Source organism: Homo sapiens, chromosome 19 (assembly GCF_000001405.40).
Source record: "Homo sapiens chromosome 19, GRCh38.p14 Primary Assembly".
NCBI lineage: Eukaryota > Metazoa > Chordata > Mammalia > Primates > Hominidae > Homo > Homo sapiens.
The window spans coordinates 16,505,525-16,521,495 of NC_000019.10; the positions used below are offsets into that span (position 1 = coordinate 16,505,525).

The 15,971-nt window shown below is 52.8% G+C and overlaps 2 protein-coding genes across 7 annotated transcripts in view; one reads left to right on the top strand and one right to left on the bottom strand.

Moving 5' to 3' along the window:
- C19orf44 (chromosome 19 open reading frame 44) overlaps positions 1-15,828 on the top strand; it is a 24,959-nt gene extending 9,131 nt beyond the window's left edge. Inside the window, exons 4-9 of one of the 6 annotated variants that reach the window (NM_032207.4) lie at positions 1,177-1,250; positions 3,975-4,464; positions 7,490-7,585; positions 8,973-9,139; positions 11,706-11,817; positions 14,570-15,828. In NM_032207.4, the coding sequence (NP_115583.1) occupies positions 1,177-1,250; positions 3,975-4,464; positions 7,490-7,585; positions 8,973-9,139; positions 11,706-11,777 (899 nt within the window). In that variant the 3' untranslated portion in view covers positions 11,778-11,817; positions 14,570-15,828. The other 5 variants (XM_011528354.4, XM_006722920.5, NM_001288834.2 and 2 more) reach the window with 5 other exon arrangements.
- The window catches only part of CHERP (calcium homeostasis endoplasmic reticulum protein), a 24,544-nt gene continuing 20,942 nt past the window's right edge, over positions 12,370-15,971 (bottom strand). The window contains exons 13-17 of the mRNA NM_006387.6: positions 15,302-15,388; positions 14,840-14,983; positions 14,625-14,741; positions 14,097-14,191; positions 12,370-13,828 (exon numbers count right to left, since the gene is read on the bottom strand). Coding sequence (NP_006378.3) covers positions 13,635-13,828; positions 14,097-14,191; positions 14,625-14,741; positions 14,840-14,983; positions 15,302-15,388 — 637 coding nt within the window. The 3' untranslated portion in view covers positions 12,370-13,634. The remainder of the gene's footprint in view (positions 13,829-14,096; positions 14,192-14,624; positions 14,742-14,839; positions 14,984-15,301; positions 15,389-15,971) is intronic.

Here is a 15,971-nt window from a genome sequence, read left to right on the forward strand (position 1 = left end):
TTTATAAAGCTTTCTCAGAAGGCAGCCACGCTCCTTCCTTTACACATTGTCTATGGCTGCTTTCACACTATGACATTGGAGCTGAGTCAGTCTGTCCCCAAAAGCTGGAAATTTCCCAGCTAGCCTTTTATTTTTTATCATTATTATTATCATTATTTGTTATGATAATTATTTTTGAGACGGAGCCTTGCTCTGTCACCCGGGCTGGAGTGCAGTGGCATGATCTTGGCTCACTGCAACCTCCAACTCCGGGTTCAAGCGATTTTCCTGCCTCAGCCTCCTGAGTGGCTGGGACTACAGGCACGTGCCATCACACTTGGCTAATTTTTGTATTTTTAATAGAGATCGGGTTTCACCATGTTGACCAGGCTGGTGTTGAACTCCTGGCCTCAGTTGATCTGCCCATCTCGGCCTCCCAAAGTGCTGGGATTACAGGCGTGAGCCACCATGCCCGATGATTATTATTATTTTTTAGAGACAGGGTCTCTCTATGCTCCAGGCTGGAGTGCAGTGGTGTGATCATAGTTCACTGCAGCTTTGAACTGGTCTCAAGAGATTCTCCGGCCTCAGCCTCCTGAGTAGCTGGGACTACAGGCACCCGCCACCACGCCTGGCTAATTTTTTGTATTTTTAGTAGAGACAGGGTTTCATTGTGTTAGCCAGGATGGTCTCGATCTCCTGACCTTGTGATCTGCCCGCCTCGGCCTCCCAAAGTGTTGGGATTACAGGCGTGAGTCACCGCGCCTGGCCATGTCTTCATATCTTTCTAAACATTTGTGGGAGATTAGGCTGGCTGCGGTGGCTCACACCTGTAAACCCAGCACTTTGGGAGGCCGAGGCAGGTGAATCACTTGAGGCCAGGAATTCAAGACCAGCCTGGCCAAATGGTGAAATCTTGTCTGTACTAAAAATAGAAAAATTAGCCGGGCGAGGTGTCAGGCACCTGTAATCCCAGCTACTCAGGAGGCTGAGGTGAGAGAATCACTTGAACTTGGGAGGCAGAAGTTGTGGTGAGCCAAGATCGTGCCACTGCACTCCAGCCTGGGTGACAGAGTGAGACTCTATCTCAAAAAAAAAAAGAAAAGAAAAGAAAAAAGAAATTTGGAAGGTTTGTAAAAATTTATGGAGTAAATAAGAGAGTAAATGTAAACGCTTATACTCATTTTTTAATTACAGAGTTTAGAATAAATATTTTATCGCTTGACGGTCTGGCTCCAGCTGTCAGTGAGAACTCCGATTTGGAACAGGAAGTAAGTACAACAAAGTCATTTTTCATGGTCGATTGTTTTTGGCTTCAACATTTTTTTTTTTAAATTTTTAAAAAATTTAAAAATTGAGGCAGGGTCTCACTATGTTGCCCAGGCCGTCCTCAAACTGGGCTCAAGCAATCCTCCCGATTCAGCCTCCCAAAGTGCTGGGATTACAGGTGTGAGCGACCATGCCTGGCCCAATGTCGATTCTTATGTGGAAAAGCAAGTAATGTTTCATTTAGGCCTATAGTTTTCAAATCTGCCCCCCAGGGGACATTGGCAATGTCTGGTGACATTTTGGCTGTCATGACTAGGGGGTGGGTGACAGATGCCACTGGCATTGTGAGTGGGTGGAGGCCAGGAACACTGCTCCATATTGTGTAATGCACCGGGTGGCCCCCAGCTGCCAAGAATGTTGTGGCCTCTGATGTCAAGAGTGCAGTAGGTGAGAGACCCTGATTTAGGTGCTAACAGGATGAAGCTACCTTGGTTAGCTGGTGATTAAAGCACATCCCACGTAAAGCCGCCCATGACAACATCTGCACGGAGGCAACACTTCACCAGCCGTATCCAGTCACACTCCCTGTTGTGATTTTTGTCCTGGTGGCCACCGGCACTGTCAGATACACGTGTTGGTTATACACAGTGATGACATTTTATTTTTATTTTAAAATATTTATTGTTTTTATTTTATTATTATTATTATTTTTTATTTTAAACTTTTTTTTTTTTTTTGAGAGAAGTCTTGTTCTTATCCCCCAGGTTTGAGTGCAATGGCTCGATCTCGGCTCACTGCAACCTCCACCTCCCGGGTTCAAACGATTCTCCTGCCTCTGCCTCCCAAGTAGCTGGGATTAAGTCCCCTGCCACCATGCCCAGCTAATTTTTGTATATTTTAGTAGAGACGGGGTTTCACCATGTTGGCCAGGCTGGTTTCGAACTCCTGACTGCAAGTGATCCACCTGCCTTGGCCCCCCAAAGTGCTGGGATTACAGGCATGAGCCACTGCGCCTGGCCTATTATTATTATTATTATTATTATTATTTTGAGACAGAGTCTCGCTCTGCTGCCCAGGCTGGAGTGCAGTGGTGTGATCTCAGCTCACTGCAAGCTCCGCCTCCTGGGTTCACACCATTCTCCTGCCTCAGCCTCCCGAGCAGCTGGGACTATAGGCGCCCACCACCAGGCCCGGATAATTTTTTTTGTATTTTTAGTAGAGATGGGGTTTCACCGTGTTAGCCAGGATAGTCTCGATCTCCTGACCTCGTGATCCGCCCGCCTCGGCCTCCCAGAGTGCTGGGATTACAGGCGTGAGCCACCACGCCCGGCCTTAATTATTATTTTTTTGAGACACAGTCTCGCTCTGTCGCCCAGGCTGGGACTACAGTGGCACAATCTCAGCTCACTGCAACCTCCACCTCCTGGTTTCAAGCAATTCTTGTGCCTCAGCCTCCTGAGTAGCTGGGATTACAGGCACCCGCCACCCTACCCCACTAATTTTTGTATTTTTAGTAGAGATAGTTTCACCATGTTGGCCAGGCTGGTCTCCAACTCCTGACCTCAGGTGATTCACCCACCTTGGCCTCTCAAAGTGCTGGGATTACAGGCATGCGCCACCATGCCTGGCCCAATTTATTTATTTTTGAGACAGGTCTCACTCAGGCTGGAATGCAGTTGGGGGATCATGGCTCACTTCATCCTCGATGTCCTAGGCTCAAGCAATCCTGCCCAGCCTCCTGAGTAGCTGAGACTACAAGCGTGCACCCATGCCTGGCTAATTTTTTATTTTTTTGTAGAGATATGGACCGGCTGGGTTGTCCAGGCTGGTCTTGAACTCCCAGCTTCAAGCAATCCTCCTGCCTCGGCCTTTCAAAGTGCCGAGATTACAGGTGTGAGCCATTGCCCCCAGGCATGATGAAACTTAATTTTTAAAATATTTTTTTTCTTACAGAGGTAGGGTCTTGCTATGTCTCCCAGGCAGGTCTTGAACTCCTGAGCTCAAAGGATCCTGCCGCCTCAGCCACCTAACATTTCATCAGTCCATGATGAAATGTTTTTTTTTTGAGACAGAGTTTTGCTCTTGTTGCCCAGGCCGGAGTGCAATGGTGTGATCTCAGCTCACCATAACCTCTGCCTCCTGGGTTCAAGTGATTCTCCTGCCTTAGCCTGCTGAGTAGCTGGGATTACAGATACGTGCCACCATGTCTGGCTAATTTTGTATTTTTGGTAGAGACGGGGTTTCTCCATGTTGGTCAGGCTGGTTTCAAACTCCCAACCTCAGGTGATCTGCCCGCCTTGGCCTCCCAAAGTGCTGGGATTATAGGCATGAGCCACTGTGCCCGGCTGAAAATTTTTTAATTTTTTTTTTCTTATAGAGGTAGGGTCTTGCTGTGTTGCCCAGGCAGGTCTTGAACTCCTGAGCTCAAAGGATCCTACCGCCTCAACCACCTAAAGTCCTTAAGTCCATGATGAAATGTTAAATGCCATCCACGTGCCACCTAAGCATGCGTCACACCATCAGGATTCCTGCAGCCCCGTGGACATGCCGTACTGAAGACGCCACAGTTCTGTTTAGAATACTCCGTGCCCACATCTAATGAGGACCTGGTGTGTCCCCTTGTCTGCGGGAGTGCTGCAGGTCCCCAGCTCCTAGGAGTGCAGTGTTCCTAGCATGTTGATATTTCCAAAACACTTCCCAGCCACCTCTGCCATTCTTCATTTTAGGAGGAAAGTGCTCAGAGACAAAAAACAGCTGGCAAAATCTTCAGAGCCGAGGCGTCCACTGGGCAGGATGCCCCGAGGCAGGCCCAGGCGAGGAGCTGGGCATCACAGGGAAAGGCCGCCTCTGCAGAGGGGGATGAGAGCGAGGTCTCGGAGCATCTCAGTGCCAGCTCGGCTTCTGCCATCCAGCAGGACAGCACTTCCAGCATGCAGCCACCATCTGAAGCCCCCATGGTGAACACAGTCAGCTCAGCTTATTCGGAGGATTTTGAAAACTCTCCAAGTCTGACAGCATCTGAGCCAACCGCCCATTCCAAGGAGTCTCTTGACAGAACACTGGACGCTTTGTCTGAATCCTCTTCAAGTGTGAAGACAGACCTTCCACAAACAGCCGAGTCTAGGAAAAAGTCGGGCAGGCACGTGACAAGAGTGCTTGTGAAGGACACAGCTGTGCAGACGCCAGATCCTGCCTTCACCTACGAGTGGACCAAGGGTAAGCCTTGGGGCCCGTGGGGGCCGGGGCAGCCGGGACAGGAGCTCAGCGTGTGGTTTACAGCATCCTGGGAGACACGTGGGAGAGCTCAGGTTCCTGAGATTTGGGCTCTTGTTATTAATCACCTGGAGGGGTTGGCCAAGCAAGGTGGCTCACGCCTGTAATCCCAGCACTTTGGGAGGCCGAGGCGGGAGGATCACTTGAGGTCAGGAGTTCAAGACCAGTCTGGCCAACACAGGGAACCCTCATCTCTACTAAAAATACAAAAATTAGCTGGCTGTGGTGGTGTGTTCCTGTAATCCCAGCTACTCAGGAAGCTGAGGCTTGAGAAGAACCCGGGAGGTGGAGGTTGCAGTGAGCTGAGATGATGCCCCTGCACTCCAGCCTGGGTGACAGAATGAGACTCTGTCTCAAAAAAAATAAAAGTCACCTAGGGACCTTGGCTCACCATTTCCTCTTCCATGGACGAGGGACAGCCGCCCTCGTGTGTCCCGATGTCTTCCTAGCCCTGAAGCATTCAGAAGGATCAGAACCAAGGACTAGGGTAGCACCTCCCACAGGATGATTCACGGGGGGACTCCAGCAAGGTCTGGAGACATTATTAGTTGTCACAACTCAGGGTGGGGAATGCTATCGGCATCTGCTGGGTGGAGGCCAGGGGTGCTATTCCACACCCCGCAGTGCACAGGATGCCTTTGTCCTGGAGAATGAACACCCTGGGTGACTTTCCAGATATTTCTCTCTCTCTCTCTCACTCTGTTTTTAGAGATGGGGTCTTGCTATGTTGCCCAAGCTGGAGTACAGTGACCCAATCATAGCTCACTGCAGCCTCAACCTCCCTAGGCTCAGGTGATCCTCCTACCTCAGCCTCCTGAGTAGTAGGATTACAAGCATGCGCCCCCATGCCTGGCTAATTTTTATATTTTTTGTAGAGACAGGGTCTTGCCATATTGCCCAGCCTGGTCTCAAACTCGTGGGCTCAAGCAATCTGTCAGCCTTAGCCTCCCAAAGTGTTGGGATTACAGGCGTGAGCCACTGCACCCGGCCCTGTATCTTTTTTTTTTTTGAGATGGAGTCTCACTCTCTTGCCCAGGCTGGAGTGTAGTGGTGCGATCTTGGCTTACTGCAACCTCCACCTCCTGGGTTCAAGCGATTCTCCTGCCTCAGCCTCCTGAATAGCTGGGATTACAGGTATGTGCCACCACGCCCAGATAATTTTTGTATTTTTAGTAGAGATGGGGTTTCACCATGCTGGCCAGGCTGGTCTCAAATTCCTGACCTCGTGATCTGCCTGCCTCGGCCTCTCAAAGTGCTGGGATTATAGGTGTGAGCCACCGCACCTGGCCCCCTGTATAATTTTAAAATGTTCTTTGTAGAGACAGGGTCTCCCTATGTTCCCCAGCCTGGTCTTGAACTCCTGGGCTCAAGTGATCCTTCCACCTGCTCATGTTGGCCCCCCAAGGTGCTGGGACTACAGGCATGAGCCACCATGCCTGGCCTTCGGGCATTTCTCTCATTCCCAGCTTCAGTCTCGGCTCTTGCTGGTGGAAAGGCCCCATTCTTTTAAACATTCCCATGTTATTATTTTATTTTATATAATTTTATTTTATGAGATGGGGTCTCGCTCTGTTGCCCAGGCTGGAGTGCGGTGGCACAATCTCGGCCCACTGCCTCCTCCACCTCCTGGGTTTCAGCGATTCTCCCACCTCAGCCTCCCCAATAGCTGGGACTAGAGGCGCCTGGCTAATAAACATTCCCTTTTAATATCTCTTTTCTCATCCATATGGCTCTTGACAAGGTAGACTGGATGTGAAAAATGATGTAGTTCCCAGCCTGGCCAATATGGTGAAACCCCGTCTCTACTAAAAATACAAAAATTAGCCTGGTGTGGTGGCACGCATCTGTAGTCCTAGCTACTCGGGAGGCCGAGGCACAAGAATCGCTTGAAACCAGAAGGTGGAGGTTGCAGTGAGCTGAGATCGTGCCATAGCACCCCAGCCTGGGCGACAGAGTGAGACTCTGTCTCAAAAAAAAAAAAAAAAAAAAAAAAAGGCAATGTAATTCTCACTGGATCTATTTGTTTTGATTTGGGGGCTTAACCTAACATCAGCCTGACGGGCCCCCCAGGAGAGGGTGAGTGGTGTCTGTTTCTCAGGAGGGAAAGTCAATCACATGGACTGAGTCAAATCACCTTGGAGGTGTTAAATGGTATTTTCAACCTGGGATCTGGGCTCAGAATTGTTTGTGTCTCTCTGCACTTCTGTCCATATTTTTGGCAATTTAGGGATGCTTTCATGAAACACTGGCGAGGCTGTTTTCCTAGACTAGGACTGACAGGGAAAGGAGAAAGAAAAAACAGCAGCCATAAACACGCTGGCCTCAGAGCCCAGAGAACACGCAACATCCTGAGGTCAACAGTGACCCTTAGAAGAAGGGCTGGGAAAGCACATCCTCCACTGCTCTCGACTGCAGCCACCGTGAGCCGGAGCCACCGCTGCACCCAGCTAGGATACCCGTGCCTTGAGCCAAGAAAACCTAGCAGAAAAATGGAGGCAGCCTTGGGAAATACTTGAAAGGGGAAGAGGGTAAAAAAAAGTAAAGAAGGGCCGGGTGCGGTGGCTTACACCTCAGCACTTTCAGAGGCTGAGGCAGGAGGATTGCTTGAGCCTAGGAGTTCAAGACCAGCCTGGGCAACATAGGGAGACCCTGTCTCTACAAAAAATTTTAAAAATTAGCCAGGCGTGGTGGCGCACCTGTAGTCCCAGCTACTTGGGAGACAGATGGGAGGATTACGTGAGCCCAGGAGGCTGTAGTGAGCTGTGATCATGCCGTGCACTCCAGACTGGGCAATAGAGCAAGACCCTGTCTCAAACCAAAAAAAAAAAAAAAAAATGCAAGAGTGGCGATCACCTTCAGAAAGAGGGAAGAACAAGGTCACGTAGTTTATTCCAGGGTCGTATCTGTGGACCCGAAAGTCATTTCTCTGCGTCCTGCCTGCTTACCCCTCTCTTTGTCCCCGAGATAGTGGCCAGCATGGCAGCCATGGGGCCTGCCCTGGGAGGCGCCTACGTGGACCCGACACCCATCGCCAATCATGTTATCAGTGCAGATGCAATAGAAGGTAACAGCCCGGCTCGGGGGATCCTTCCTGTCACATTTTACAGGACTCATTTCACCTGCAGATTCACACCCACTCTGGAGGTGTGGCACCCCTTGCATGCTGGCTTCCAGGGGTCCATTGGGCAGGGATTATTGCAGCCACAGGCACCTGCCATGAGGAGAGAAAAGGTGTGGATGCCCTTGAACCTTCTGTCTCTTGCAAAGAGACACCAATGTCACACAAAACAAGAGGGTGAAGAGTGATGCTTCTGTGCCCTGCACCCCAACAAGGCCACTTTTTTTGTTTGTTCGTTTTGAGACAGTCTCGCTCTGTTGCCCGGGCTGGAGTGCAGTGGCGCGATCTCCACTCACTGGGACCTCTGCCTCCTGGGTTCAAGCGATTCTCCTGCCTCAGCCTCCCGAGTAGCTGGGATTACAGGCACCTGCCACCACGCCCGGCTAATTTTTGTATTTTTAGTACAGACAGGGTTTCTCCATGTTGGCCAGGCTGGTCTCGAACTCCTGACCTCAAATGATCTGCCCACCTCGGTCTCCCAAAGTTCTGGGATCACAGGCCTGAGCCGCCCTGCCTGGCACAAGACCACTTTTGTTTTGTATGTTCCCCTTGGTGGCATTACATCAATAAGCCATAGTTTATTTCCCCTGAAGACATGTATTTGACTGATGCTGAGTTGCACAGCCTGGGTAGACATTCCCTTGCCTCCTGGGCTGAGTCTGTGTGGCCCTCACAAAGGCTCCAGTCCAGCCTGAGGCATGAGGGAGGGGCCCCAGCAGCCATCTTAGAGAGTTTAGTCTTTGTCGAGTCCAGTGGAGCCAATAAAGGCTTGTGATACACGTAGGGGTCCATCTGGTACCTACTATTTTTTTCCCTTTTCAATTTTTTAATTTTTTTTTTTTGAGACGGAGTCTTGCCCTGTCACCCAGGCTGGAGTGCAGTGGTGTGATCTTGGCTCACTGCAACATCTGCCTCCCAGGTTCAAGCGATTCTCCTGCCTCAGCCTCCCAAGTAGCTGGGACTACAGGTGTCTGCCACTACACCTGGCTAATTTTTTTTTTTGTTTTTTTAGTAGAGATGGGGTTTCACTATGTTGGCCAGGCTGGTCTCAAACTCCTGATCTCGAACTCCTGATCTTGTGATCCGCCTGCCTCAGCCTTCCAAAGTGCTAGGATTACAGGTGTGAGCCACTGTTGCTTAAACCCAGGAGTTCGAGGCTGCAGTGCGCTGTGATGGCACCGCTGTACTCCAGCCTGGGTGGCAGAGCGAGACCCTGTCTCCAGAAAAAAAAAAAAAGATTTCAGAGAGCAGCCTGGCACCTGAGCGGTGGGGGGGGGGCTGCAGAATTTGTGGGGCCCCAGCGAAGCCACCGAGTAACGCGGAGCTGGGTCAGCCCTGACCGCTTACAGCCCGGCCGTGCTGGCACTCCATGATGTGCTGAAGCAGCAGCTGAGCCTGACGCAGCAGTTCATCCAGGCCAGCCGGCACCTGCACGCCTCCCTCCTGCGCTCCCTGGACGCGGACTCCTTCCACTACCACACCCTGGAGGAAGCCAAAGAGGTGAGCGCAGCTCCCCATGGGCAGGGGCAGGGCAGTAGGGGAGCGGCAGCTCCCAGAGGCCGGGCCGAAGGGATATGGGCCGGGGCCTGGGCTCCAGCGCTCAGCCCAGGGCTGCAGGGATGCAGTGGGGCCATCACCTGTCCCTGTGGAGGGAGCCTCATTTCCTGCCACCCTGTGGCAAAAGCTGGTACAGGGTGGGGTGCTGAGCTCCTGCACCTTGCAGCCAGCCCCGCCTGGGCTGTGTGACCTCAGACTAAAGGGACCTACTGTTCGTGGCACTGTTTTCTCCCATGGGAGGGGTCCTGTCCCTTTCCCTGAGCCTCCTGAGACATCCCCGAGATGGGGCCAGAGGCGGCCCAGCTGTTCTCCTCAGCAATCACCCTCACCTCTTTTTTTACCCTCTAAGAATTTTTATCTGATTACCAGCCAGGTGCCGTGGCTCACACCTGGTGCTTTGGGAGGCTGTGATGGGTGGATCACTTGAGGTCAGGCGTTTGAGACCAGCCCGGCCAACGTGGTGAAGCCCCATCTCTACTAAAAATACAAAAATTAGCCAGGATGGTGACGGGCGCCTGTAGTCCCAGCTACTCAGGAGGCTGAGGCAGGAGAGTCGCTTGAACCTGGGAGGTGGAGGTTGTAGTGAGCTGAGATCGTGCCACTGCACTCCAGCTCGGGTGACGAGCAAGACTCCGTCTCAAAAAAACTTTTTAAAATCTGATTACCAAAAATTACGTGGCTGTTTTCTGAAAATCTTGTTGCAGAGATGTGTAACCTGCAAGTTCTCCTTAATTTCAGAGGTAACTATTACCAAGCTGATATATATACTCCTTCAGACTCTTGTATGAACCATAGTATGCGTATTTCTTTTTTTTAAAATTTTTTTTTGACGGAGTTTTGCTCTTGTTGCCCAGGCTGGAATGCAGTGGTGTGATCTCAGCTCACTGCAGCCTTCGCTTCCTGGGATCAAGCGATTCTTCTACCTCAGCCTCTCAAGTAGCTGGGATTACAGGTGCCTGCCACCATGCCCAGCTAATTTTTGGGATTACAGGTGCGAGCCACCATGCCTGGCCACGTATTTCTTTATAGAAATGGCATTATACTATATGCAGTCCTTTATGGTGATCTATTCATAAACTTTTTTTTTTCTTTTGAGACTGAGTTTCACTCTTGTTGCCCAGGCTGGGGTGCAATGGTGCAATCTCAGCTCACTGCAACCTCCGCCTCCTGGGTTCAAGTGATTCTCTTACCTCACCTTCCTGAGTAGCTGTGATTACAGGTGCGAACCACCATGCCCAGCTAATTTTTCATATCTTTAGTAGAGACAGGGTTTCTCCATGTTGGTCAGGCTGGTCTTGAACTCCCGACCACAGGTGATCCACCTGCCTCGGCCTCCCAAAGTGCTGGGATTATAGGCGTGAGCCACCGCCCCCTGCTTTAAACATTTTACATAACAAATTTTTCAGTGTTTATTTCTAAAAAGTGATGTTAAAGCCAGGTGTGGTGGTTCATTCCTGTAATCCCAGCACTTTGGGAAGCTGAGGCAGGGTGGGTCGCTTGAGCCCAGGAGTTCATGACCAGCCTGGGCAACATAGCAAGACTCCATCTCTATTAAAAAATACAAGAAAACTAGTTTAAGTTTAGCATAGTGGTGTGTGCCCGTAGTCCCAGCTCTCTGGGAGGCTGAGGTGGGAGGATCACTTGAGCTGGGGAGGTTGAGGCTGTAGTGAGGGAGAAAGCGGGACTCTGTCTCAAACAAACAACCATAATGCAATAATACACAAACCAAATTTACTAAGTATCAAGGAATATCCAGTGTTGAGATTTCTGCTTGTCTGATTTAAAGTTGTGTGTTTTGTTCCGATTTGGTAATTCGGATCCAAAGTCCATACTATCCGATATGTCCTTTGAGCCTCTTAATCTAGAGCAGCGACCGGTTCTCAATGCTGAGCGGTTGGGGATCCCCTGGAAGCCCTGTGAAAGCGATGCTGGGCCCGCAAGCAGGCGGGGTGGGCCTGGAGCTAGGCGTTTCTCCCACATGCCCCGGGACGCTGCTTTGGAACTGTGCCGAGTCCCCTGCATGCCAGGCCTCTCGTTTCCTTGTGGTTTATCTGCTGAAGAGGGCAGGTTGTGAGTCCCACGGGTCTCTACAATGTCAACTTTGCTCATTGCAGCCCTCTGGGGGCTTTGAACTCATGCCTCTGTTGGGCGTCCATCAGCCCATCCGATGCAGGCAGAAGCCATCTGACTGTGCCACCTGGCTGCAGCCCACCATAGCTCCCAGCTGCTTGCTCCAGGCGCTTCTCCCTGATCTCAGCCACTCCAAGGGCACTCACAGGCACCCCTCCCTTTCTCTGTCAGGGCTCACCCCTCGCAGGGCTGACCCTCTACCCTGTGTTCCCACAGCCCCGTGCGCCAACCTGTCACACACATCCTGTGGTTTTACACTTCTGTCACTGACAGGAGCCTGCTGGGGACAGGTGCTGGCTCCACTCCCTCCTCCAGCACCCTGTCTCAGAGTGTACTGAGGTGACGATGGTGATGGCGTGGTCTGTTCTCTGCCTGACAGTACATTAGGTGCCACAGACCTGCCCCACTGACCATGGAGGATGCCCTGGAGGAGGTGAACAAGGAGCTGTGAGCGCCAGCAGGTGGAGCTTGACGTGACGTCTTAACAAAAGGTATCCCGTCCTGTGTACTCAGTGCACACACACGCACACAAACATAGAGCTCATCAGTGTCCAAGTGTGACGTTCCGTGGTGGGGGCAGGTGGTACTGGGGTGATGGACACACACACACACAGTCAGCATCCAGGTGTGACATTCCATGGTGGGGCAGGTGGTGCTGCGGTGAGGGCCCCAGACTCCTCTGAGCCAAATCCCAGCTCAGTGACAGCTCTCCCAGCAGCATGCCCAGCTCTATGACACCACAGGCCAGTGGAAATAGAATTTCAGTGGAGCTGTCCCCACTCACAGCAGGACAGGGGCCACCAGCCTCTGCAGAGCAGCTCCACCCAGGCAGGTCCTGGCATCCCAGTGAGCCAGAGGGAGACAGGGTGGATGGGAGAAGCCCTGCTCGAGGGTAAGGACATGGGACCAGGTCAGCACGCTGGGGACGCCATGTGAGCCCCTGGACACGGCCTCTGACCCCAGGCTGCACAGCTCAAACCAGGACATGTGTCTCCTCACTCAGCCCGTGCACACTTCTGACTTACACATGTGCGGGAGAAAGGTCTTTAAAAAAAGGCTTTATTTGAAGGCAAAACAATGAAATCCACAAGAAATTACTAACAGCACGTGTTTACGTTTTATCCTGAATCATACATTTTAACAATTCACAGCTACAGGAAATCTAGAACAAAATCAAATATTCATCACGTTGGGTTGAAAAGTTGGAAGATTTTGCATCTTATTGAAAAGAATTTTTCAAAAATGTTTCTGTACAAATGAATGGAATTGCACCAGGCTGCCCATGGACACCAGGTGTGGCCGATTCCCAACGGTCACCCACCAGCTTCTGGCAGGAGCAGCTCCCCTCCTGGCCTCCCCTCCCTTCGGGGGTGTGAAATGAAATGATGGAGTGGAAGGCGCTGGCTGGGGTCGGGCTCCATGCTCTGGATGGGACTGGGCCGTCGCACACGCCAGCCGGTGCAGGGTTCTTCCAAGTGCAAAACTCAAGCAGGGGACGCGACGGGCACAGACTCCGAGGCAGCGCTCAACCTGAAGTGTCTTAGGCTGGTTTCCTGTTAGAATCTTGTTTCCCAGATAACAGCAAATGGCTACATTCCAGAAAAAAAATATCAACTTATACAACTAAAATAACTGAACTAAGGGCCAGTACGCCTTCGAAGAATTAGGTTTCAGAATCTCACTGGGCCTCCTCTCAGGTCAGTATTCTTCTTTCTAGACCTAAACCAAGGAGAGTAAAAATGAAAACCCTGCTTCACTTCGCAAGTCAAGTCAAAGTTTTGTGTTTCTGTTTTTCAATCCGCGGGCAGTCATGGCACTGGGCTTCGGCTTTGTCCCTACACAGCCGAGGGGAAGCCAGGTCAGGGCCGGTGGGTGCGGGGAGCTGGAGGAAGGAGCTGGGGTGCCGGCTCTGGCTCAGGCCAACCCTTCCTGCACATGCTCCTCCTGGAGCCTAGGAGGAGGCTTCAATCTGACTTAGGGCAGATGCACATCCATCCCTTCGTGGCTGAAGAATTTACTCGGGCGGAGGGTCTTGTGTTTTTTGCTTCGCTATAAAGGAAAACGAGCCTGGGGCCCTGGTGGCTGCAGCGCCTCCTGGTGTGGTTTGTGGGTGGCACCCGTGCCCTCCACGCCATGGAGCACGGCGTTCCCACTGGGCATGCGCTGGTCTTCCTTCTCTTCCTGTGGCTCTCCACAAGTGGAGACGGTGTAAGAACTGAGCTGTCACTGCAATCTTCCTCTGCCAGTCAGCCAGGAAGGTCCCACAGCCGGCACCGCTGGCCACCGGCGCGGCTCCCGGCATGGGCGCCTACTTACACTCGTCCCTGGCCTTCATGCGGGCGATGAAGGAGTAGCTCTTGTTCCTGCGGTAGTTCTCATAGGGGTCATCCAGAGCCACGCCCACGCCTTTATACTGGTCCCACTTATCCCGGACGTCCCCGCCCTTGATGGGGTCCTGGATCCCTTGCTCCTTCGCACCGAGGCCGCCTGAGCCGCTCCAGCCTGGAAACAGAGACGCAGTCACAACCACAACAAGGCGGAGGCAGATGGGGGTGCACGTGGGGGGCTGAATGTCCAGACAGGCAGTGTAGACATGGGAAATGGGTAGAGAGAACCCGCAGGCCGGCCCTGTCTAGAGGGTCTGGGTGGAGTCAGAACCGGCCTGACTCCATCCATCCCCACATGCACTGAGGAAGAGAAAGCGCTGGTGACTCCCGGGCCCAGCACGCGTGAGGACCCATCCCGCGCCCTCCCCATTCCCTCGCCTTACCCATCTTCACCAGCATCTGATGGCCTTTGTTCTCTTCTCCGAGCCTTGAGTCAGGGATGGGAGGCGCCGAATTAGAACCCAGACCAGCAGAGGAACTAAAATCGAGACAGGTTATTCTTTTTAAGAAGTAACTGAGACATTTATTGGAATGACAGTGATGAGGACCTCACAGCCGCAGCTTGCGTGCATGCTCACTGTCACCAGGTGACACCGTATGCAGATTTTGCGTCTCTACCCGTTTATCCTGTCTCAGCTAGATAAGGGGGCTCCAGACGCTGGCCCCCACCCCACGCTCAGCATTGAGAGCAGGACACCTCCAACCCAGATGGTGGTTAGAAAGCAGACCCCAGTTACTGCCTCAGGCTTCGCCAAGTGGCTACTGTGGTGAAGGGTGAGGGGTGCCACTGTCCCCGGGCTAATGCTGGCGGCCTCCTAACACAGTCTCCTAACCACCAATGTTTCCACATTCACAGCAAAGCACCGCAGCTTCCCAGAGTTACCAGCGCAGCACTTAAGACAGGATCTTACGGCGGGGTGGGGCTCCTGGACCGTGACCGGCGTCTTCTTCCTGGGGAGTACGACTTGGACCGGGACCGCGACTGGGACCGGGAGCGGCTTCTGGAGGAGCGCGACCTGCTCCGACTTCTGCAGGGAAGGGTGCCCAAGGGTCAGCAGCAGCCAGGCGTCGTGGGGAGGCCACAGGAAGAGGCCTCAGGCACTGCCCTGAGGCAGCCTCTGCCTACCTAGATCTGGAGCGGGAGTAGGAACGGGAGCAGGAGCGCGACCTTGACCTTGAGTACGAGCCTGAAGACTTGGAGGATCTTGAGTTGGAGCGGGAGGAAGAACGCCCTCGACTCTTGGATCTGCTCCGAGACCTCGAGGGTCCGCTGTGGGGAGAGGCCTGATGATCAGGTGCCCCAGTGGATGGGCTGCACCCAGCCCACCCTGGCCCTCAGGTTCCTAGACCACCCCAGATGCAGGGGCTCTGGCTGTGGATGTGGCGCCATAGCCACAGCAACGGTACCAAGTTCCTAAATAGTGTGGCCGAGCCTGCTGCTGTGTGAATTCAGGCCTTGTGGAAAACACCGCCCCATAGGCACAGGCTGTGTGAGGGTGGACGTGATGAGTGTATCTGGGGTCTGCTCCCACCCATCACAAGCTGTGGACCCTGGCCCCCCGGCCACTGCAGACATCTGCGCTTTTACCTGTTCCTCTTCTCCTGGCCTTTCCTCCGCCGGGCCCGCATTTTTGCTCGGAAGAACTCATAGAGGCCGTTCTGCTCCCAGCCTTCACTGTAAGACACGGCATTCCGTGTGTGACCACGTGACACCCACCCACAAGGAAGTCGTGAAAAAGTCATCAGGAGTTAATCCACAGAACCTTGGAGAGTACATGGCCCTGTGGCTGTGGGCTCCGAGCATGGGCGCAGTAGAGCTTGGTTCAGTGTTCCCACAGGGCTGTCCTCCTGCAGCCCAGTGGCTCCTCTGGTGCCCACGCCCTTGCCACCCTGCTGTTCCGCTGAGGTGGTGGGGACCCATGGTCTGTGGAACTGGGAAACAGGAACACTGACTCATGGGTGGACAGGCCTGCAGCCCAGCACAGGAAGGAGGGGTGACCACTGGGAAGGGTGGGCTGAGGGCCCTGTGGCAGCCGGCTGCTTGAGACGTGCCGCCGTGCCACACCTTCCCTAACTTCTTCTGATGTGTCTCCATTAAAACGCCCTTCATTGAGGGCCACGTGTGTGCTGTGCCTGTGACACACACTTGTCACTCAGGCGGGGGGAGGGCAGTTTCTCCTGAGGGACAGCCACATTTTCTAGCCTGGACAGAAGGTGTGGTTGCAGGGAGCCGGGAGAGGGGACAGAGGCCTCCCGCC